This window comes from Homo sapiens, chromosome 2 (assembly GCF_000001405.40).
Source record: "Homo sapiens chromosome 2, GRCh38.p14 Primary Assembly".
Taxonomy (NCBI): Eukaryota; Metazoa; Chordata; class Mammalia; order Primates; family Hominidae; genus Homo; species Homo sapiens.
In genome coordinates, this window is record NC_000002.12 from 70281228 (window position 1) to 70302772 (window position 21545).

General features: G+C 44.1%; 2 protein-coding genes and 1 long non-coding RNA gene across 15 annotated transcripts, besides 5 other annotated features; 1 reads left to right on the top strand and 2 right to left on the bottom strand.

The window, feature by feature from the left end:
- Nucleotides 1–134: 134 nt before the first annotated feature.
- SNRPG (small nuclear ribonucleoprotein polypeptide G) lies at nt 135–12513 on the bottom strand. Of its 8 annotated transcripts, none has more exons than NM_001317165.2 (5): nt 12391–12513; nt 8123–8145; nt 6841–6965; nt 6038–6144; nt 135–457 (listed from the first exon to the last, which is right to left on the bottom strand). In NM_001317165.2, the coding sequence occupies exons 1-5, from the start codon at nt 12420–12422 to the stop codon at nt 454–456; spliced, it is 291 nt and encodes a 96-aa protein (NP_001304094.1). In that variant the 5' UTR covers nt 12423–12513; the 3' UTR covers nt 135–453. The 8 variants fall into 8 exon arrangements, with proteins under 8 accessions (NP_001304094.1, NP_001304098.1, NP_001304095.1 ...); NM_001317169.2 differs by lacking the exons at nt 6038–6144; nt 12391–12513 and adding exons at nt 10054–10082; nt 12064–12220; NM_001317166.2 differs by lacking the exon at nt 6038–6144 and having other exon boundaries at nt 6844–6965.
- Nucleotides 11271–12178: an enhancer, noted in NCBI's record as "NANOG-H3K27ac-H3K4me1 hESC enhancer chr2:70519630-70520537 (GRCh37/hg19 assembly coordinates)". NCBI's record gives its function as "activates a minimal SCP1, AML or CMV promoter by ChIP-STARR-seq in naive H9 embryonic stem cells {active_cell/tissue: H9 hESC(naive)}" and the evidence as "EXISTENCE:reporter gene assay evidence [ECO:0000049][PMID:30033119]".
- Nucleotides 12195–12674: an enhancer, noted in NCBI's record as "active region_16007". NCBI's record gives its function as "activates an Ori minimal core promoter by ATAC-STARR-seq in GM12878 lymphoblastoid cells {active_cell/tissue: GM12878}" and the evidence as "EXISTENCE:reporter gene assay evidence [ECO:0000049][PMID:35858748]".
- Nucleotides 12675–14787, top strand: LOC124906023 (uncharacterized). Its single transcript, XR_007086880.1, has 2 exons — nt 12675–12705; nt 13831–14787. It is a non-coding gene; the product is annotated as an uncharacterized LOC124906023 (long non-coding RNA).
- On the bottom strand, nt 14749–20840 carry FAM136A (family with sequence similarity 136 member A). Of its 6 annotated transcripts, none has more exons than NM_001329758.2 (4): nt 20698–20840; nt 20295–20376; nt 19613–19753; nt 14749–16250 (listed from the first exon to the last, which is right to left on the bottom strand). In NM_001329758.2, the coding sequence occupies exons 3-4, from the start codon at nt 19745–19747 to the stop codon at nt 16062–16064; spliced, it is 324 nt and encodes a 107-aa protein (NP_001316687.1). In that variant the 5' UTR covers nt 19748–19753; nt 20295–20376; nt 20698–20840; the 3' UTR covers nt 14749–16061. The 6 variants fall into 6 exon arrangements, with proteins under 6 accessions (NP_001316687.1, NP_001316686.1, NP_116211.2 ...); NM_001329757.2 differs by having other exon boundaries at nt 20181–20376; NM_032822.3 differs by lacking the exon at nt 20295–20376.
- Nucleotides 19176–20125: an enhancer, noted in NCBI's record as "NANOG-H3K27ac-H3K4me1 hESC enhancer chr2:70527535-70528484 (GRCh37/hg19 assembly coordinates)". NCBI's record gives its function as "activates a minimal SCP1, AML or CMV promoter by ChIP-STARR-seq in naive H9 embryonic stem cells {active_cell/tissue: H9 hESC(naive)}" and the evidence as "EXISTENCE:reporter gene assay evidence [ECO:0000049][PMID:30033119]".
- Nucleotides 20126–21074: an enhancer, noted in NCBI's record as "NANOG-H3K27ac-H3K4me1 hESC enhancer chr2:70528485-70529433 (GRCh37/hg19 assembly coordinates)". NCBI's record gives its function as "activates a minimal SCP1, AML or CMV promoter by ChIP-STARR-seq in primed H9 embryonic stem cells {active_cell/tissue: H9 hESC(primed)}" and the evidence as "EXISTENCE:reporter gene assay evidence [ECO:0000049][PMID:30033119]".
- Nucleotides 20760–21029: a silencer, noted in NCBI's record as "silent region_11611". NCBI's record gives its function as "represses an Ori minimal core promoter by ATAC-STARR-seq in GM12878 lymphoblastoid cells {active_cell/tissue: GM12878}" and the evidence as "EXISTENCE:reporter gene assay evidence [ECO:0000049][PMID:35858748]".

The window sequence follows — 21545 nt, forward strand, 5'->3', positions numbered from 1 at the left end:
ATGTACTTGGGAAAGTCAGGCTAGATCAAAGTTACTATTCTTACAAGTTTTGAAAATTAGTGTTTTAGAAGAAACTCACTCATGTTTGTAACTTCTTTATCTGTTCAGTGTTGAAAGATGATGGACAGAAGGAATCCTTGCCATGTTTCACATTTAATAAGATTCTTTCACTTTAATGCATAAAACCCTTTGAAATCAATGTCAACCAGGAAAATTCATGTTAGAAAAAACTGGAATGAGAGCTGATATTCTATATTCAGAACATCTGAGAAAGCATTTTTGACTATTACAAAAGTTTATTTAACAAAAAGTCTAATATGAAAATGTACATGACCTAATTTTTACATCATAGTAAAACAGGCCCTATGGAGAGAGGACATGGGTTTCTCTGCTGAACAGCCATTATTTATACTCGTTCCAAGGCTTCTAACATGATGATACTATTTCCTCGTATTACCTAAGAAAGAGAAAAATAAATTTGAAAAGAACAACTCAGGTAACAGACATAACTATGATGATTTAAGAATTTTCACCAAATCATTAATGGTTTTTTAATATTACATGTCGGTTTGCAAAGCTTTGTTCAAGCCACAGGGACACCAAACAACTCTAAGCCCTTTATACGACAGACATCTTTTGGATTTAAGGCTAACAATTTGCTTTATGAGATTCTAATGCCAAGTCTCCAATGACTAATTTCACCTTTTTTTTTGAGACAGTCTCACTCTGTTGCCCAGGCTAGAGTGTAGTGGCGCAATCTCGGCTCACTGCAGCCTCTGCCACCCAGGTTCAAGCAATCCTGCTTCAGCCTCCCAAGTAGCTAGGATTACAGGAGCCCTGACCACGCCCAGCTAATTTTTATATTTTTGGTAGAGACGGGGTTTCACCATGTTGGCCAGGCTGGTGTCAAACTCCTGACCTCAAGTAATCTGCTTGCCTCAGCCTCACAAAGTGCTGGGATTACAGGCGTGAGCTACTACGCCTGGCCCTAATTTCACCTTCTAAAATGCAGGACTCAAATTTAAATGCCCATCCCTGACTCTATGGGATCCAAAAATTAATGAGTAAAATATGTACAGTAGAGTATGTTAGGTACAGTTTGGAGGTATGAGATCATTTAGGGAAGAAACCAGGATGGGAAATTGTGAAAGGCATGCTTTATGAAAATGACATTTTACCTGGGTCTTGGAAATTGGGCAGAATTTTGAAAAGGAGATTGTAGGAAATTCTAGACAGAACTAAGATGAAGACAAAGTATGAGAGGATAAGGAAGTAATCTAATTTGAATGCAGTAAAAAGTTCACGAAGAGAATCAGGAAACAAAGATAGTTGGCATTCAATCTTGGAAAGCTTCAAATGCCAATCTTAGTGTTTGGAGGACATCAGAAACTAACAATGAGCCAGTGAGAGTTTCACTTGGGGGAATGACAACCATAAGTGTCCCTGCAACAAGATATTATATAAATACGCCGAAGTTTGAATAGGACAGAACCTAGAGGCAGAAAGAGAAGTTATAAAAAAAAGGCCCTAGGAGAACAGTGCTTGACCTAGTAGATAAGCCATAAATGAAGATAAGAATATTTATCGGGGGTGTGGTGGCTCACGCCTATAATCCCAGCACTTTGGGAGGCCAAGGCGGGTGGATCACCTGAGGTTGGGAGTTCGAGACCATCCTGGCCAACATGGAGAAACCCCCATCTCTACTAAAAATAAAAAATTAGCCGGGTGTGGTGGCACATGCCTGTAATCCCAGCTACTCAGGAGGCTGAGGCAGGAGAAATCACTTGAACCCGGGAGGCGGAGGTTGCGGTAAGCCAAGATAGCGCCACTGCACTCCAGCCTGGGCAACGAGCGAAACTGTCTTTTGTCAAAAAAAAAAAAAAAAAAAAAAAAAAAACAACAAACCAAAACCAAAACAAACCAACAGACAAACTTATCAGAGTATAGATGAATCAGCTGGTAAATGAATTCAAGAGGGGTAGAAAAATAAGCGAAACTGGAAGGCTAGGGGACTAAAAACAGTAAGTCCCTAATAGACTGGAGATCATCATAATCGATAGATCACCCATCAGTCAAGTAGAATTGGATAGGTGAATGGAGGGGTACGGGAGGGAAAGAATAGGTAATGTAGGGGAGAGAAAGGTAATGTAATAATTTGAGGTGTTTATTAGAAATGGAGGCATTCCAAAAAGATTCAAAGTGGAGCTATGCTTATAGGCAGCTAGAGTAAAAGTAGTTGTAACTTATTCTTTTCTCACAGTATCATGCTTGTTTTATTTACACATACGCTATGATTTATTGTGTTCTCCATACAAATGTAAATTTTATGAGGGCAGGGACTTAGGTGCAAAACCCCAGTGCCTAAAATAGTAGCAGGCACACAGAGGGCTCAATAACCTGGTAAATATGAATAAAAGAACTCACATGTGATTACTGCAGCTGACAGAATAGAAGGGAACACAATTGGTAGGATAAGTGTCTTGGAACCTGGCAGCCAATTATCAGCAATGAGTATGATAAGGTAGTAAAGAGCAGATTTAAAAAAGAATGGCTGGGCATGGTGGCTCACGCCTATAATCTCAGCATTTTGAGAGGCCCAGGTGGGCAGATAGCTTGAGCCCAGGAGTTTGAGACCAGCCTGGGCAACATGGTAAAACCCTGTCTCTACAAAAATACAAAAATTAGCTGAGGGTGGTGGTGCACACCTGTGGTTCCAGCTACTCGGGAGGCTGAGGTGGAAGGATCAACTGAGCCCAGGGAGGTTGAGACCACAGTGAACCAAGCTCCATGCTACTGCACTCCGGCCTCGGTGACAGAGTGAGACCTTATCTCAAACCAACAACAAAAACCAGTAAACACAGTGCCCTGAAAATGACAATGGGAACTGAAAGAGTCTAAAGATTGACACTCTTCTTCTAAGTTAACAGAGCTCCCCTCCATTTTTTTGAGACTGGGACTAGCTATGCTGACCAGGCTGCAGTGCAGTGGCTATTCACATGCACAATCACTGCACACTGCATCCTCGAACTCCTAGGCTCAAGTGGTTCTCCTGCCTCTGCCTCCTGAGTAGCTGGGACTATAGGCGCACATCACCATGCCCAGCATAAGCCAGGAGTAGAAACATGCTTACCTAGTTATCAGAATTTTATTTTCATTTTAATTATTATTTTTTTTGAAACAGGGTCTTGCTCTGTCACCCAAGCTGGAATGCAGTGGTTCAATCACAGCTAACTGCAGCCTTGACCTCCTGGGCTCAAGTGATCCTCCCACTTCAGCCTCTCAAGTAGCTGGGACCAGAGGCATGAGCCACCAAGCTGGGCTAATTTTAAAATTTTCTGTAGAGACAGGGTCTCACCATGTTGCCCAGGCTTATCTCAAACTCCTAGTCTCAAGTGATCCTCCTGCCTTGGCCTCCCAAAGTGCTGGGATTACAGGTGTGAGCCACTGTACCTGGCCAGTTATCAGAATTTTAAATTCTCAATTTTTTTTTTGGCAACAGATATTGAACATCACATCTCATTGACCAAAGCAAGAAAAGCTAGCCTTCCTGCCTAGCTCCCTGCTAAATTTACATATTTGTCTTGTCACATAATATTTAGAAAATAAGGCTAAATGGTGAACTTTGTCCCACCTTATCTGTGGTCCAAAAACATTAAATGCATAGTCCCAGCAACAGACATCCGTAAGTTTTACACTGCATGCTGTTCTTAGCAGTGTGATGATACCTCATACTGTCCCTGGATGTGGATTATCCTTTGTCTAGCATCTCCATGCTGCCCATTAATCAGTTATCTCAGTTTTATGATTGACTGTTGTGGTATCAAAGGGTTACTTGTGTTCAAGTAACCCTTTTTTTAACTTAATACTAGCCTGAAAGTATAAGAGCAGTGATGCTGGCAATATGGATATGCCAAAGAGAAGCTGTAAAGTGCTTCCTTTAAGTGAAAAGGTACAAGTTCTTGACTTAATAAGAAAAAGAATCATATGTTGAGACTGCCAAGATTTATGGTAAGGACGAATCTTCTATCTGTGAGATTGTGAAGAAGTAAAAAGAAGTTCGTGCTGGCCAGGCGCGGTGGCTCACGCCTGTAATCCCAGCACTTTGGGAGGCTAAGGCAGGTGGCTCATGCGGTCAGGAGTTTGAGACCAGCCTGGCCAACATAGTGAAACCCTGTCTCTACTAAAAATACAAAAATTAGCTTGGCGTGGTGGTGTGCGCCTGTAGTCCCAGCTACTCGGGAAGCTGAGGCAGGAGAACTGCTTGAACCCAGGAGGCGGAGGTTGCAGTGACCCGAGACCACACCATTGCACTCCAGCCTCGGTGACACAGTGAGACTCTGTCATACACACGCGCGTGCACACACACACACACAGAAATTTGTGCATAGGGTTCACTACTATCTGTGGTTTCTGGTACCTACTCTGAGGATAAAGGAGGCCTATTGTAGTGCTCTTCCTCTTTTGCCACTGTGTTTGAGGCCTAATTCTCCAAATCAAACTTGAACCATCAGGTCCAGAATTACATACTGCTCCCTTTTTTGTGCTTCAATGATGCTACAGAAGGACAACCCTAGCAAGAGTGCCTGAACTATGTAACATAATAAAAAGTAAGATAGAGGCGATGCCACTGACAACTCTGGGGATGTCTCAGAAGATAGTTGAGATTTATCATTAGGTAACGATCCAACTGACAGGTTAAAAACAAACTCACTCCTGAAAACAAACACATCCTTTTTGAGACAGGATCTCGCTTTGTCACAAAGATTGGAGTGCAGTAGTGTGATCTCAGCTCACTGCAGCTTTGACTTCCTGCCTCAGCCTCCTGAGTAGCTGGGACTACAGGTGCACACCACCATGCCCGGCTAATTTTCTAATTTTTTTGTAGAGATGAGGTCTCACTATGTTGCCCAGGCTGATCTCAAACTCCTGGGCTCAAGTGATCCTCCTGCTTCAGCCTCTCGAAGTGCTGGGATTATAGATGTGAGCTACTGTGCCCAGCCAACACACACATAACTGCAATAAAACAGTATTAAGTAATTTCAATGGCCTCAATGGATCACTGACTTGGACAAGGTAATAATGAAGCCAACTGTCCTTTGTTAAACAACTTCTAACAAAATAACAAAACCTTAACCTATTTGTTTCCCTTCTTCCAACTTTAGAAAAGTCAAAAAGTTCATCTCTGTTCTTGCCTTTTAAAATGTCTTTTATTAAAGAAGTCTGATGTGTTATTATTTCTTTTTCAAAGTGAAGACTCAGCAGCAAGAATTACTGTCTGCTGATAAAAACTTTTTTTTTTCTTTGGCTGGGGGTTGGGGGGCGTGTGTGTCACATAAACCTCAGAGATGGAACAGGAGGCTGCCCAACACACTAAGTAGGTAATCATTACTTAAATGACTTGGGATGGCAGTGCTTTCAACCAATTTCTGTGCAAAGAAAATAAAGTCCATAAAGTTTAGGGGGAAAATTGCCAGAGGGATGCTCTATTCCTTCTCTGATAAAATTCCAATGAGCAGTGTGTTACATAATTCTCTAATCTTCTCAAAGCAGAATTGACAATTAGGTGCCAAGTTCTTCCTGAATCCTTTTCAGCAAATTTTTTGCAAGGAACTAAAAACCTAATCTACCTTCTATTAGAATGAAAATTTATTTGTAAAAATAAGGGCTGAGAGGAAAATCTTGGGGTATCTAGAAAATGTTTTTAAAAGGACTTGGCTACTAATCATGCTGGCAGCCTTATTCAACAGAAGCTCACAAGGGAATATACCTGAAAGACAAGTCAATTTACATGAAACTTGGGGGTACAGTGTGGTATCTGGAGACTCTAAACTGTTTTTTCAGTCATAACTATTGATTTGCTTTTCAAAATACAGTAATGAAAAAGTATCTGAAATAAGTAATAACACAAACCTTGGAAAGAATGGTATGTAAAAAAATTAAACAGGCAGAGATGTCAAAATAGGTCTATCTTCAACTTTACTGCTCAAACTTAAAAATCAAGGTTAATAAATCAAGGCTAATAATTAGCAACTCTTACCACTCCTTGGAGGTCTTTATGCTTAATAATTTGCTAAAAGTAAGTTGTCCTTTTTGGTTCACCTTTTTCAAGAACTTTGGGCTTACCGCTTTATTAGGTATGTTGTCCTGTGTTAGACAAAGAGGGACTCAAAGTCTGGGTATCAAAACTCTTCTTCAGCAATCACTAAAACTACGGCCCAATGAATGTAGGAATGTTTAATCCTATGAGGGCTCAGTATGTGCTTATTTTTTCCTGCTTTTTCTCTCATGTGAATAACTGTCATTGTGATTATCCCTTGTAACTTTTACCTTGGCTACCTTAAAATTTTGGGTGTGGTAAACCAGAAAATCCAGGTTAACTATGTATACAAGTAAAATCAGAAAGTGTTACCTGTGAACTGGCAGATCTGCATTAGGCATTAGTAGAAATGCAAAACCTTAGTTAAGTTCTGCCCCATACCTACTGAAGTAGAATCTTCATTTTAAGAAGATTCCCTGGGGATTCATATACACATTAAGGTTTCAGAACTACTGCTCTAATGAAGGACCAACTATGAGCCTCTATTGCAGAATAAAGCTCAAAAAGGATTTCCAACAGCTATTTCAAGCGCTAGGACCTTAGGTTCTGTATAGTTGAGATCTTACCTACAGGTAACCAGGATATTACTACAGCTGAGTAACTGCCGTATGCAACTAAAAAGGAGATGGAAAGTCTAATCTTGCCTGTTATTTGCCATTTCTGGGGGTTACTAACCAGGAAAGTTAATACACATTCCAAAAGAAAAATGAAATCTCCAAGAGAACTCTTGTATCTTTACTTACCACCATTCCAATATTGTTCTGTTGTCCACTAGTCGCCATCTCCACACATTCATCTATCACAAGGTTCATAAAGGGATCAAATCCCCGCAATATTCCTTGGACATGTCTGCCACCATTTAATTTCACTATTAAAAAGAGAAAAAGAAGTTTTAGAAAAACATTCCATTAGCTACCAAGCATTCACTAAAAATCAGGTGGGATAAAACACAAGTATTTGAGATGTCTGAAACCCACTATCCTTACTGTATGACAAGAACTGGGTTAAACATTTTTGTATTTACTTCCACATTTTAATTTATAAGAATCCTAAAAAGTAGTATTATCCTTACTTTATAGGACAGAACTAAACTTCAGAGCTTTTTTAAAATTTTTATAAAGATGGGGGCTCCCTATGTTGCCCAGGCTGGTCTCGAACTCCTGGGCTCAAGGGATCCTCCCGCTTTGGCCTCCCAAAGTGCTGGGGGATTATAGGTGTAAACCACCGTGCCCGAGCTTTTAAGTAACTGGGTTCATGGTTATACAGCTACTGTACGACAGAAGTGAGATTCAAGCTGAAGGCTGCTTACCTCTAACGCTCATGGTTTTTTCCCCTACATATATTTCAAGTACTGTGTGGGTCAGATTTTTAGATAAATTGAACAAATGTTATTCCTACATATTCCCAAGAAACAAGATAACTGTTCCTTGTCTAAGTCCTTTGTAGCTTGTTTAAAGAAAAAAGGTTGATAAATCCTGTTAATTTTGCCAAAGTGAGGAAGGGCTTACATAAGATAAAGTCTGAAGTGCTGTTAAATTAATTATCAGAAATTAGGTAAATAAAATTGTCTAGTTAGGATTAAGTAATCTGCTTAACTAACGGATGTGAATTAGAGGTCCTGTGTGCTTTAAATTTTTTTTTTTTGAGACGGAGTCTAGCTCTATAGCCCAGGCTGGAGTGCAGTACCGCCATCTTGGCTCACTGCAAACTCCGCCTCCTGGGTTCATGCCATTCTCCTGACTCAGCCTCCCGAGTAACTGGGACTACAGGCGCCCGCCACTGCACCCGGCTAATTTTTTTTTGTATTTTTAGTAGAGACGGGGTTTCACCGTGTTAGCCAGGATGGTCTTGATCTCCTGATCTCACGATCCGCCTGCCTCGGCCTCCCAAAGTGCTGGGATTACAGCCGTGAGCCATCGCGCCTGGCTGCTTTAAATTTTTATAAAGTTGCTCCAAACATTGCTAAGACACATGTAAAAAGCAATTAAATAATTAAAAAAAACCCCAAAACAACAACAAACTTACATGATAACTTCTTGTCCATAAATCTGAAAAAGGAAAAGGGTAAAGATTATATAACCAATTAAAAAAATTTAAGCATAAACAAGTAAATAGGTATAGTTAAGATAATTTGCTAAAATTTATACAATGGGAATAATGAAATCTAAAATAGTAAAAATAATGTATTGCTGTAAAGAGTGAGGGAGTAGGGCGAGGTAGCTCACGCCTGTAATCCCAGCACTTTAGGGGGCTGAGGCGGGTGGACTGCTTGAGCTCAGGAGTTGAGACCAGCCTGGGCAACATGGTGAAACCCCATCTCTACCAAAAATACAAAAATTAGCTGGGGGTGGTGGCACATGCCTATGGTTCCAGCTACTTGGGAGGCTGAGGTCGGAGAATCACTGGAGCCTGCCACGTTGAGGCTGCAGTGAGCCATGATTGCGCCACTGCACTCCAGCTTGGGCAATAGAGCGAAACTGTCTCAGGGGAAAAAAAGAGTGGGGGCGTAAAGGGTTACCTAAATTAGACATTCTAGGAAGCAAAGTAATTTGGGAAGAGGAAAGGCAATAAAAATGAAACATATTTAGACTATATTAATTTACATTAAGTAGAGTATACTAATGTGAATTACATTCTTATTGTTCAATACTACGTTGTTTCATTGACCTAAATTTCTTTCTTTTTTTTTTTTTTTTTAAGAGATGGGAGTCTCATTATGTTGCCCAGGCTGGTCCTGAATTCCTGGCCTCGAAAAATATACTCCCCCTCAGCCTCCCAAAGTGCCGCTGGGATTACACAGGCATGAGCTACCACATCTGGTCTCATTGACCTAATTTTCAATGACTGGATTTTATAGTCACAAGAGAAAAACAAAGACTTGCCTATGTTTGGTTATTTCCAAAACTAAGTTGTAAAGACAGCAAACAGTAATCAAATCATATCCAATTCAATAGGTATTTTATATTTGAAATAAGTAGTGTTCTTTTATTTAATATTAAAGCATCAAGCATAAATGTTCAGGGTAGTCCTCAACATTTAAGTATATTTTAGAATAATAAATGCACATTTGAAACTTCAAACGATATGAATTAAAAAAAAATTCCATTTTAGTGGAATACGAGATTAAGCCATGCAGTCAAATCAGTTTTTAATTTCTTCCATATAGGCCAGAAAACATAAAATTTCATTCAATTTTAAAAATTTCATTCAAATTTTAAAATATAAAAAAATGAAAAAAAGATGTTTAGTATATGGGCCACGAAGTGGGGCACTTATTCAATTTTAATGTATAGGATTATCATGGGAAAATGTAAATATAAAACAAGGAGCATGACTGAAGGAGGGAGTAGATACATTTACAAGTAAAAATATATTTATGGGCTGGGCGCGGTGGCTCATGCTTGTAATCCCAGCACTTTGGGAGGCCAAGGCGGGCGGATCACCTGAGGTCGGGAGTTCGAGACCAGCCTGATCAACATGGAGAAAACCCGTCTCTACTAAAAAAAAAAAAAAAAAAAAAAAAAAAAAAAAAAAAAATTAGTCGGGTGTGTTGGTGCATGCTTGTAATCCCAGCTACTCGGGAGGCTGAGGCAGGAGAATCGCTTGAACCCGGGAGGCACAGGTTGCGGTGAGCCAAGATCGCGCCACTGCACTCCAGCCTGGGCAATAAGAGTGAAACTCCATCTCAAAACACACACACACACACACACACACACACACACACACACACACACATATATGAAGTAAACTATATTTTAATAAGATACATAAAACGTATCAAATATAACACACAAGATCTTATACAATCTTTACAACGACTTTGCAATTATGGTCTATCATTTCCACCGTTTTTACAGATGGAGAACTAGGCTTGGAAAAGCTAAAGCAATTTTTCAAAGTCACACAGCAAGTGAGAGCAAACACAAATAGTTCAGTGTGACTGGAGAACGGAATACCTGAGTATTAGCAGCTAGAAGGTTTGGTGCTTGAATGCTGGGTTAAGTACAGACTCGATTTTGCATACTGTGATAAATTATTAAAGCAGTCACTGGCAAGACTACCGTGGCAGCAAATTTTAAGAAGTGGAAGGAAGAATTCAGTTAAGCCAGTGTATCTCAACTTCTATACTACTGACATTTGGGACCAGTTAATTTTGTATTGTTGGGGGCAGTCGAATAAGCAGTAGGATGTTTAGCAGCACCCTGGTGTCTACTCACTAGAAGCCGGTAGCACCAGATTCCCTACTCCCCATTTAAGAACACCTGAGTTATGCTACACCAGAAGGAGGGCATAATGGTGTAAAAGAAGATGCTATCTGTGAGAAAGCAGAGGAAGAAAAAATTTTTAAGTCATTTTGGCGGCAGATCTGACCGGATTTCACAATTCATGAAACCTACGAGGAAGAGAAAGGTATTAAAACTAGCTTCCTTCTCTGAAATTTTCAAAAACTATGTTATGAATCAGAAAGAAAATCTTAGATTACAAGTAGAGAATGGTCTTTTTGTTAAAAAAAAAAAAATCACCATTTCACCAGTCCCTGATGAATCCAGAGGATACTTACATCACCAAAAATAACTTTCAGATAAAAAGAGTAATTTTCACAATAATTTCTGAGTAACTTCTATTTTTTTTTTTTTTTTTGAGACGGAGTCTCGCTCTGTTGCCCAGGCTGGAGTGCAGTGGCGCGATCTCGGCTCACTGCAAGCTCCGCCTCCCGGGTTCACGCCATTCTCCTGCCTCAGCCTCCCGAGTAGCTGGGACTACAAGCGCCCGCCACCAAGCCCACGTAATTTTTTGTATTTTTATAGACACGGGGTTTCACCGTTTTAGCCATGATGATCTCCATCTCCTGACCTCGTGATCCGCCCGCCTCGGCCTCCCAAAGTGCTGGGATTACAGGCGTGAGCCACCGCGTTGGGCTTATGTTTTAATAATTAATTCCTTAACAGACCTAACTAAAATATACATAGAAGTAGTTTTCATACAAAAGATGGCTTTGATACAAATGGACCTTTAAATGCAAAAATATTATTATTTTTTGAAACAGAGTTTCGGTCTTGTTACCCAGGCTGGAGGGCAATGGCGCGATCTTGACTCACTGCAACCTCCGCTTCCCGGGTTCAAGCGATTCTCCTGCCTCAACCTCCGGAATAGCTGAGACTACAGGCGCACACCACCTGCCTGGCTAATTTTTTGTATTTTTAGTAGAGACGGGGGTTTCACCATGTTGGCCAGGCTGGTCTCGAACTCCTGACCTCAGGTGATCCTCCCGCCTCAGCCTCCCAAAGTGCTGGGATTACAGGCGTGAGCCACTGTGCCCGGCCGCAAAATTATTAAATAGGAACTTTACCTTTTGTCTGACTTCCATGGGCCTGGTAATAAATGAACTAACTATACACAAAGCCAACCACATGCTACGCCAGAAAAAACTGATCCCTGTAAAAATTTTGCATCCTTTGTGCAATCCAACTAATACATGTAGAATTCCAGCATCAGGAAGTATAAGCAAAACAGAAACGTAGTCAGGAAACACATAACCTGTTAAGTCCACTCAAAAAGTATTTGAGGAATTCAAAGCTTTACGTTGAGTCCTACCTAAAGTAAGGCTCTCCTACTTAAAGTTGTTTGACTTTACTGGGTGTGTAGAAAAAACTTCAAAAAATTAGCCTTCTCTGACTAGAAAAAATTAATGTTCTTAAAAAAAAAGAAAAATGAATGTTCTTATATAGTTTCAACATCAGAGCAAGATAACACATGACATTCAAGCTTAACGTAAAAGAAGGCAAGAAAAAGGAATGAGGTTTCTAAGTAAAAGCTCAAACACCTACAAACACATTTGCTAAGACTAAAGTGGCTTTCGGATTCTGATGCCTCACGTAGTTTTAAAAACACTTCCTTCCCTTCCAGCCCCTCCTTAGTTCCTTCAGAGAATTTCCCCCTCTAGCCGTCTATCTAGAACATGATACTATTCGAGATGTTCAACAAAAGGTAGCACTGGAGATCTTCAAGGAACGAGGGACAGCGCCGGGTGACCAGGGGCCAGACCGCGGGACCTGGAGACTAGTCGGCCGGAAGGAGGTGCCGTGGCTGCCGGCTGTAACCACACCGACGCGCGAGCTCTGCGCGGGCTTCACGTCTCATGCGCGGGAGCCTGGCCGGGATCCCGGCGACCTCGGACCGGAAGAAGAAATGAAGTGAAGCGGCTCAAGACATTCGGCTAACGGAGAGGGAACCAAGGGACTCGCAGGACGCAAATAACTGACCACTTCGGTTTGGCTCTCACACATACTTACTTTTTCAACTCGGGAGGGTGAGCTTTGCTCATGGTGTATACTCCGCGGGCTCACAGATGCCTTGGAACGCAACGCACGGCTTTCCTCACGCTCCCGCTGTAGGCCCGGCGTCTTGCGTCTGGCGTCATCGACCTCGTTAGCCAATGGATTGTTGGCAGTTTTTACATTTCACCTCGCGATATCTCAGCGCCTCGGTCATCGTTGAGCTTCCGGTTATGTCCTCAGCGATTGGCCAGGACGGAGGGGTGCGTCCTCTAGGCACCTTTCTGAATTCCGTTTTCCTTGTACAAAATTGAGATAACGGGTATTCCACCGGTGGGTATCCCTGCTCTTTTTCTTTTCTTTTTGAGACGGAGTCTAGCTCTGTCGCCCAGGCTGGAGTGCAGTGGCGCGATCTCGGCTCACTGCAAGCTCCGCCTCCCGGCCTCACGCCATTCTCCTGCCTCAGCCACCCGAATAGCTGGGACTACAGGCGCCCGCCACCATGCCCGGCTAATTTTGTGTATTTTTTAGTAGAGACGGGGTTTCGCCGTGTTAGCCAGGATGGTCTCGATCTCCTGACCTCGTTATCCGCCCGCCTCGGCCTCCCAAAGTGCTAGGATTACAGGCGTGAGCTACCGCGCCCAGCCGGTTATCCCTGCTCTTGTCTATGGAACAGCCAAAATAAATAAAAATAAATAAATAAATAAAAAAAGCCGGGCGCCGTAAATCCCAGAACTTTGGATCTCTTGAGCCCAGGAGTTCGAGACCAGCCTGTGCAACATAGCGAGACCCCTTCTCTATTTAAAAAATAAAATTGAGATATTGAGATAACGGTCCCGTCTCTAGCTCCTGGGCAAACCCGGCCAATCCCGCATGTCTGTGGATCGTATCGCTTATTTTCTTCATATATACCAATATACCAAATGATAATGATCCCTGGAGGAATGGGCCTCTCTCTATATATGTATATTTTTTTGAGACGGAGTCTTGCTCTGTCGCCCAGGCTGGAGTGCAGTGGCGCGATCTCGGCTCACTGCAAGCTCTGCCTCCCGGGTTCACGCCATTCTCCTGCCTCAGCCTCCCGAGTAGCTGGGACAACAGGTGCCCGCCACCACGCCGGGCTGATTTTTTGTATTTTTAGTAGACACCGTATTTCACTGTGTTAGCCAGGATGGTCTTGATCTCCTGACCTCGTGATCCGCTGGCCTCGGCCTCCCAAAGTGCTGGGATTACAGGCGTGAGCCCCCGCTCCCGGCTGGGCCTCTATATTTTTTTGGCAGGTAACCCTACAGCATACTGTCAGACCAAGTAGGGTTCCCGTAACATGTAAATTAGCAGCCTCTGAACCATTGTAGAGTAAGGTGACTGGGTCTGTCTCCAAGAATTTGAATCTATTTCTGACTGAGGGGTCTTGCAAAAAAAATTTTTTTTGAGATGAGTTCTTGCTCTGTCGCCTAGGCTGGGGAGCATGGTGTGATCATGGCTCACTGCAACCTCGAACTCCTGGCCTCAAGCAATCCTTCCACCTCAGCCTCCTGAGTTGTTGAGACTACAGGCGCACGCCACTGCACCCAGCTAATTTTTTTTTGTAGAGACGAGGTCTTGCTTTGTTGCCCAGGCTGTTCTCAAATTCCTGGCCTCAAGAGATCTGCCTGCCTCCGGCTCCCAAAGTGCTGAGATTACAGGGGTTAGCCAGCATGCCTGGGAATTCTGAAATTTTTCAAACACTACCTCCAGAACTCACTGATGTGCTATTGCCCCTGTATATAAAATGTGAAGTGCAGCACACAAACATTTTCTAATATAAGGTGTTCTTTTTTCATGTCAAGATGTGTAAAAAGTGGTCTCGGACTTGTTCCCAGTTGTTACCCCAAAATTATAGAAGACTAAACCAAAATAGAATACCTTGTGTTTAAATAGGGGATAGTTCTCAAAAATTCAGTTAATTCCTGATATTCTGGAATGGCTCTATATAAATATCAATGATAGTAAAGACTTAAACTCATCACATATTTTGCACTCTCTTAGTACTCAAAATCCTAGACACTGAATTTTTTCTAGCAGGGTCATAGCTTTGTACCTTTACTACCACTTGCTATTAGTGTTTAGTTGAAGCTAGAGACCTGACATAGATAATGAATTTCTCTTTTTAGCCTCATAGACAGTTTCTTTTCTACATTAATGAACTTCAAGTCACAATGTCCTAGTCTCCTCTCAAAGTTTTTCCCATTTACAGTGAACCAGTTCTGCATCTGAACCATAACAACTAATTTCCACTCTTCTGGACATTTTAACTCATTTAACCTGTTAAAAGGAGAAGCATCCTGAGAAAGTTACATATTCACCACCCAGATATAAGGAAAGAAGACTCAATAGTGGGGAGAAAATTAAACCTTATTTATTTTTAAAGTCAAACCACTAGGAAAATATATCACAGCCTGGAAACAGCAAACGGACAGGCTATATTATAATTTCAAGTAATAAGTTGGTGAAAATTCAACGAAGTTGCTATCAAAACAATAAGGTGCCATGCTGGGGCAGGAACACTGCCAGCTGCACAAGCCCCAGGCAAAAATGGTATTTGGTAATGGGGGCTGTCTCTCCTTTGCTCTAAGGGAGTCAGCTCATCCTAGCCCAAGTTGCTTACTTTTTCTCCCTTGAATTTCCTGTTGCCAGGGGTTTGTCTCAATTGGGCTCTGTTAATTCAGGGGGCTAAGTAGGCAATGCTAGGTGTAGGCTTTCATTCCATATGTTCTAATAAAACCAGGTTTTCCCAAATCCAGTACTTCATTTACTCTGTTGTAATCAAGTAGCCAACTGCTCCTCTTTTACTGTTCATTCCTAGATACTAGTATATATCACAATCAAAACCCCCTTCTCTTCAAGGGGAAAGTGTTACTGCAAGATTGTCCTGTCATTTTGTTACACACAGCCTCAGGGGCCATCAGCCAGTAATTCTGCTTCCCATAATTAGTGTGTCATCACCTCTCATGTTTCTGCACAGTCTCCAGGCTGAAAGATGCAGCATGTAATAATTTTAAGAAATGTACATCCACATCTTGATGACCAGAAATGGGGATCCACAAGGAACATTTCAAAGTTCTTATCCAAACTAGTCTACCTCCCAGTTCCACATCTTAAAATCAACTTGTATGCCCTTGTATAAATTACCCCAAATCAAGAAAACAAAGACCCAGAAAACTTTCTTTCCCTTCTAAGTTAGTGACCTCATTGATTTTGTTTCACAGCTTATGGAAGATGGTGGGGTGACACTTTTGGTAAACAGGATGTTGGCAACAAAGAGAAAATATCTCTCCTCAGACTCCACCAACTCTAACCTGCCAGCCTGTTAGTACCTGTGTAGTAAGAAGAGTCTGGTACCTTGGAGGGCTCTGGCTTGTTACAGGGGAAAGCCTTACTGCCAGGACAAGCACTGGCCACAGGAAATAATAAGCTCTAAAACTCTCCTGTAATATCTCTGACTCGATTTAGCACCACTTTTTTCCATTTCATTTTTTAGGGACTGAAACATAAAATAACCAGTGTCCAGAGGCAAGTGACATATGCCTTACGCTTGTGGCCATCCTTCATTTCTTCATTCGTAAACTTTGCTTAAAAGACTAAAATTCCCAATTCCTTATAAAAAATATATTCTTGCCCTCAGCCCTGATGGCCACTGGCAAATACTTTTATTTTCCAATTGATAAGAGAGCCTCCTTCATCTTCTTGGTCATAGTTGGGATGAGGTGCATGTGGTCATCCACACACTTGGTCACACAACTGTCCAGCTGCTGCTTCACCTGAAGCTCCTTACTCCCAGCATCTATTGAATCTTTGGCTTTGTCGTTGCAATGCATGGTGCACCGGGCCAGGCGGTCCTGTGGCAAGAAGGAAGAACGTAGAAAAAGCTGAGAGTAAGGCCTCCATTTACTGCGTGCTCATTATGTGTTAGGCCCTGTGCTACAGGTTTAATATGTATTATCTTGGTCAATTAAAGGGACATGGTAGTGTGATTGGCCAAGTTTTTTTTTTTTTTTTTTTTTTTGAGCAGAGTCTCACTCTGTTGCCCAGGCTGGAGCGCTGCGCTGCAGTGGCACAATTATGGCTTACTGCAGCCTCAACGTCCCAGGCTCACGCTATCTTTCCACCTCTGCTCTCAAGTAGCTAGGACCACAGGCACACGCCACCACTCTTGGCTAATACTTTCTTAAAAATTATTTTTGTAGAGATGGGATCTCCCTATGTTGCCCAGGCTGGTCTTGAACTCCTGGGCTCAAGTGATCCTCCCTCCTTGGCTTCCCAAAGTGTTGGGATTAGAGGTGTGAGCCACTGTGTTTGGCTTTCCAAGACTGTCTTGACTCAAACAGAAGATGGCACCAGGAGGGCTCAAACTATTACTAGAAAGCAGGTGAATGACAGAATAAATTGGGCAGAACATTCTTCCAGGAAATGAGAGGTCCCTAGAGGTTATTGTAAGATGTACAAACATCTTGATTCTTTTTTTTTTTTTGAGACGGAGTTTCGCTCTTGTTGCCTAAGCTGGAGTGCAATGGCACAATCTCGGCTCACCACAACCTCCACCTCCCGGGTTCAAGTGATTCTCCTGCCTCAGCCTCCTGAGTAGCTAGGATTACAGGCATGCGCCACCATGCCTGGCTAACTTTTTTTGTATTTTTAGTAGAGACGGGGTTTCTCCATGTTGGTCAGGCTGGTCTCAAACTCCCAACCTCAGGTGATCCACCCGCGTCAGCCTCCCAAAGTGCTGGGATTATAGGTGTGAGCCACTGATTCTTTAAAGTCTGTTCTTTCTACAGGAAAACATTCAATTCAACAAATATTTATTGAGCATCTACTATGTGCCAGGCACTCTTTTAATGTTAGGGAATATAGCAATGAGTAAAACAAAGTTCTTACCCTTACAGAACTTACATTCCAGTGAGAGGAAAGAGACAAACAAAGTAAATGGAGATGTGGAGGAATTAGTTGGATATGTGAATGTGGAGTTTATCAGTGAGCTCTGGCCTACAGATATAAATGCAGGAGCTGTCAGCATAGAGATTATATTTACAGCTATGAGGCTAGAGGAGACTAGAGAAGTAGGCAGAAAGGAGAAAAGAAACAAGGACAGCCCCAGGCACTCTGATGCTCAGAGGCTGGAGTGGGGAAGAGAGAGCAAAGGAGGCCAAGGAAGGAGGCAGAAAACCAGGAGAGTGAGATGTCCTGGTGACCAACTGAATAAAGTGCTTTAAGAAGGAGAGGGATCCACTGTGTCAATGATGCAGACAGAGTAAGATGAAGACTGAGAAATGACCCCCGGATTCGGCCCCATGGGGGTGAGTGGCAGGAGTGGTTCTGGCCCAGTGAAGAGTGAAAGTCCACTTGGAGAGGACTAAAAAGATAATGCAAGGGAAGTTATAGAGCAATCCAAGAATCACATTTTCAAAGACCCCATCTATAAAATTAGCTGTCAAAAAGAACACAAAGAAACCCTTTGGGGTTCCATGATCTTGAAGAAGTTATTCCTTCATAATGGCAGTAACTTTGAAGCGTTTTGAATGGAAGAATGTAAAGATGTGTCACATTATGTATAAGTTTCCATGTGGATGGAACCTCAGGCTATGAAAGGCTGGCTTGGAAGTAGGCTTGCTTCCCCCAGGTTCCAGAAAAATATACTTAGAAGATGGGAGTAAAATGAAGTTGTGGATACTCTTTGCTCCAGAGAGGGAAACAGGGAGCTCTTTTGGTAACCTCAGAGGGGCTTGTGAGCCAGGAATCAGTGAGTCAACAGTAATAATGATTCACATAAATGACTGCTCCTTAGTGACAGAGGGGCTGCCCTCTGGGTATAGCAACTAGGGGCAGTCCTGGGTGGGTGTATAAGTCCACAAAATGGTGGAAGGGTGTTCCTCGAATCTGTACCTTTTCAAGGCTATCCTACCTTTCTAGAGATTCTGCTGTTTTAAAAATAATATATGTTTTAGGAAACTTTATTTTTTTATTTTTATTTTATTTATTTTTTGAGACGGAGTCTCGCTCTGTCACCCAGGCTGGAGTGCAGTGACGTGATCTTGGCTCACTGCAAGCTCTGCCTCCCGGATTCACGCCATTCTCCTGCCTCAGCTTCCCGAGTAGCTGGGACTACAGGCGCCCACCACCACACCTGGCCAATTTTTTGTATTTTTAGTAGAGACGGGGTTTCACTGTGTTAGCCAGGATGGTCTGGATCTCCTGACCTCGTGATCTGCCTGCCTCGGCCTCCCAAAGTGCTGGGATTACAGGTGTGAGCCACCGTGCCTGAACATTATTTATTTTTTTTTGAGACGGAGTTTCGCTCTTGTTGTCCAGGCTGGAGCGCAATGGCATGCGATCTTGGCTCACTGCAACCTGCGCCTTCCAGTTTCAAGCGATTCTCCTGCCTCAGCCTCCCGAGTAGCTGGGATTACAGGCACCTGCCACCATGCCCAGATAATTTCTGTATTTTTAGTAGAGATGGGGTTTCACCATGTTGGCCAGGACGGTCTCAAACTCCTGACCTCGTGATCCACCCGCCTCGGCCTCCCAAAATGTTGGGATTACAGGCGCGAGCTACGCGTCCAGCCAGGAAACTTTATACTACACAGTATACATTCTGTATTTGGTGGTTATGTCAAAAGGAACAAACAAACGCCTCCTCCCCAACAAACTGCATAAGGGCTCTTGGTCATGAACTCCCCTGGTAACTCCCCATTACATCATTTCTTTTTTTTTGAGACAGAGTCTCGCTCTGTTGCCAGGCTGAAGTGCAGTGGCGCGATCTTGGCTCACTGCAACTACACCTCCTGGGTTCAAGAGATTCCCCTGCCTCAGCCTCCCTAGTATCTGGGACTACAGGTGCGTGCCACCACGCCTGGCTAATTTTTTGTATTTTAGTAGAGACGGGGTTTCACCATGTTGGCCAGGATGGTCTTGATCTCCTGCTCTCATGATCCACCTGCCTCAGCCTCCTAAAGTGCTGGGATTACAGGCATGAGCCTCCGCGCTCGGCCTACATCATTTCTATAGGAAATGATGTTCAACTTAAGGCACTCGACCGCCAAGACTTTTTCCAAAATTTCAAACCCTGTGAAAACTGGTTGGCCATCAGTATCACAACTGTTAACAGAACCAAGACACTAAAGCCAAGAGTTTTGAACAAATGCTTGTCATCTCCTGCAAAAGTCTGTATCAAGGACTACAGTGCTCTGTCTAGGATATTTCTCACCTGGAACTTCTCCAGCTCACTGGTGACCAAAGCCTGGGCTTGAGCCAGAGGCACATGGCAGCGCTCGATGCACTGGTGCACCTGCTTCATGGAGGCCTGGCTGTCCTCACAACAGCTGGCGCTGCACCGGAACATGAGACCCTGGGGAGAAAGGGCAGAGAGGTTAGGTAGGAAAGTCTCTGGGGACAGAGATGACTATGGAGCACTACAGGAGTTAGAAGGCCACGTGGATATTTGCACCTCTCTCTCCACCTTCTGCTTTCACCTTCCCTGAGAATAGACACCAGGACCTTAAAACCACCACTGGGGAAAATTATCCTCAATGTCTAGTGTAGTGTTTCATGGTGTCCTTGCTGCTAGCTCATCGGCACCTGTTGCACCGATGGTTGGGTGAACAGAGGTTCGCCCGAGTGGGTGAGGGTAGGGTGGTCTGACGAAGCCAAATTCTGAAAACCAGGAGCCTCTTCCATGGGGTTCAGAGGTCAGCAACCTAGCAATACAAATTCCACCAGAGGGCAGCCGACCCACTAATCAATGACTCAAGGGGCACTATCTGGGAAACGCATACTCCGTGAGAGAAGCAGGACCGAAACACACAGAGGCATTGCGGGGCTCAGAGAAGAACAGTGTAGAAACCCGCGCTGTGTGAAGCGAGGTTGGGCGCAAGAGAAGCAGGCATGACCTGGCCAACGGGGAGGCCGGAAGTCCTCGCCTTTCTGGTCTTTCACGTTGGCAGCGCCTCTGCTGGGCCTCGGGCCGCTCACCTGCGGAAGGGGCCGCGTAAGAGGGGAAGGTGGTGGGGCGAGCGCCTGCCACCAGGGGCTTCCCACCTGCCGCCGAGGACGCTCCTGCCCCGGGCTGGAAGGGGCGGAAAACAGCCTCGCGCACGGCAAGGGCACACGGATTTCATCCGATCCGCCAAAGCTTCCGAAGTCCTGTCCGAGGCCGCCCCGGCGACCCCAGGGCCGCCCACACCCGGTCTGCGGGGACGCGGCTGCAGTGCAAGGCGTCGCGTGGTGGCTGAGGGAAGGGCCCGGAACCCACCCGCTGAGAAGGGGGTCCTGGTTCGGCCCCAGCCCCGCTACCTGCATCTTCCGGATGTTCTCTCTTTCCAGACTCTTCACCATGGACTCCACCGCCTCCTGCACCCGGAGCTGCTGCAGCTCAGCCATGGCGACCCCGCGCTGCCCCGCGGCGCTCCGCGCCGGCGCCCATATGGAATCGGCGTACGGGCCCGCCCCCTCACCGCCCTTCGCCGCCCTTCGCCGCCTGCCCTTCCAGGGCCCACGCCCCCCCCTGGCGGCCGAACGGAGCCACTGCATGCTGGTGTCCGCGAGCCCACCGCCCTCCTCCCGCTTGGGAACCGGTCACTGGGACACCTGCCCTGCGGCTGCTGCCTGCCTTTCCTCCTCCCTCCCATGTCCCTCCCTTTACATTCTTTAAAATTATTTAATGTAATTTACATACAGATAAATGCCCAGATCTTAGGCGTGCTGCTTGATGAGTTTTAACAAACCCTGTCCGCCGGGCGCAGTGGCTTACGCCTGTAATCCCAGCACTTTGGGAGGCCGTGGGCAGGTGGATGACCTGAGCTCAGGAATTTGAGACCAGCCTGGCCAACCTGGCGAAACCCCGTCCCTACTAAAAATACAAAAATTAGCCGGGTGTGGTGGCACATGCCTGTAGTCCCAGCTATTTGGGAGGCTGAGGCAGGAGAATTGCTTGAACCCGGGAGGGAGAGGTTGCAGTGAGCCGAAATCACGCCATTGCACTCCAGCCTGGACGACAGAGTGAGACTCTGTCTCTAAACAACAATAAAAACCCAAACTCTGTCTTGTCCCAATCTCCGTCCTTTCTACCCCATCTCCCCACCCCTGCCCTAACTGGTCTGCTTCTGTCACTGTAGATTACATTTTCTCTTTCTAGAATGTCA

Excerpts from the sequence above, each read along its gene's own strand:
- SNRPG (NM_001317165.2), bottom strand. The coding sequence starts at position 12,422 with ATGAGCAAAGCTCACCCTCCCGAGTTGAAAAA. Across the intron at positions 8,146-12,390 it reads CACCCTCCCGAGTTGAAAAA|ATTTATGGACAAGAAGTTAT; the intron begins GTAAGTATGTGT and ends TTCCTTTTTCAG. Across the intron at positions 6,966-8,122 it reads TATGGACAAGAAGTTATCAT|TGAAATTAAATGGTGGCAGA; the intron begins GTAAGTTTGTTG and ends TCTTTTTAATAG.
- FAM136A (NM_001329752.2), bottom strand. The coding sequence starts at position 20,784 with ATGGCTGAGCTGCAGCAGCTCCGGGTGCAGGAGGCGGTGGAGTCCATG. Across the intron at positions 19,754-20,376 it reads TTACGCGGCCCCTTCCGCAG|GGTCTCATGTTCCGGTGCAG; the intron begins GTGAGCGGCCCG and ends CTTTCTCCCCAG. Across the intron at positions 16,251-19,612 it reads GTGAGCTGGAGAAGTTCCAG|GACCGCCTGGCCCGGTGCAC; the intron begins GTGAGAAATATC and ends TTCTTGCCACAG.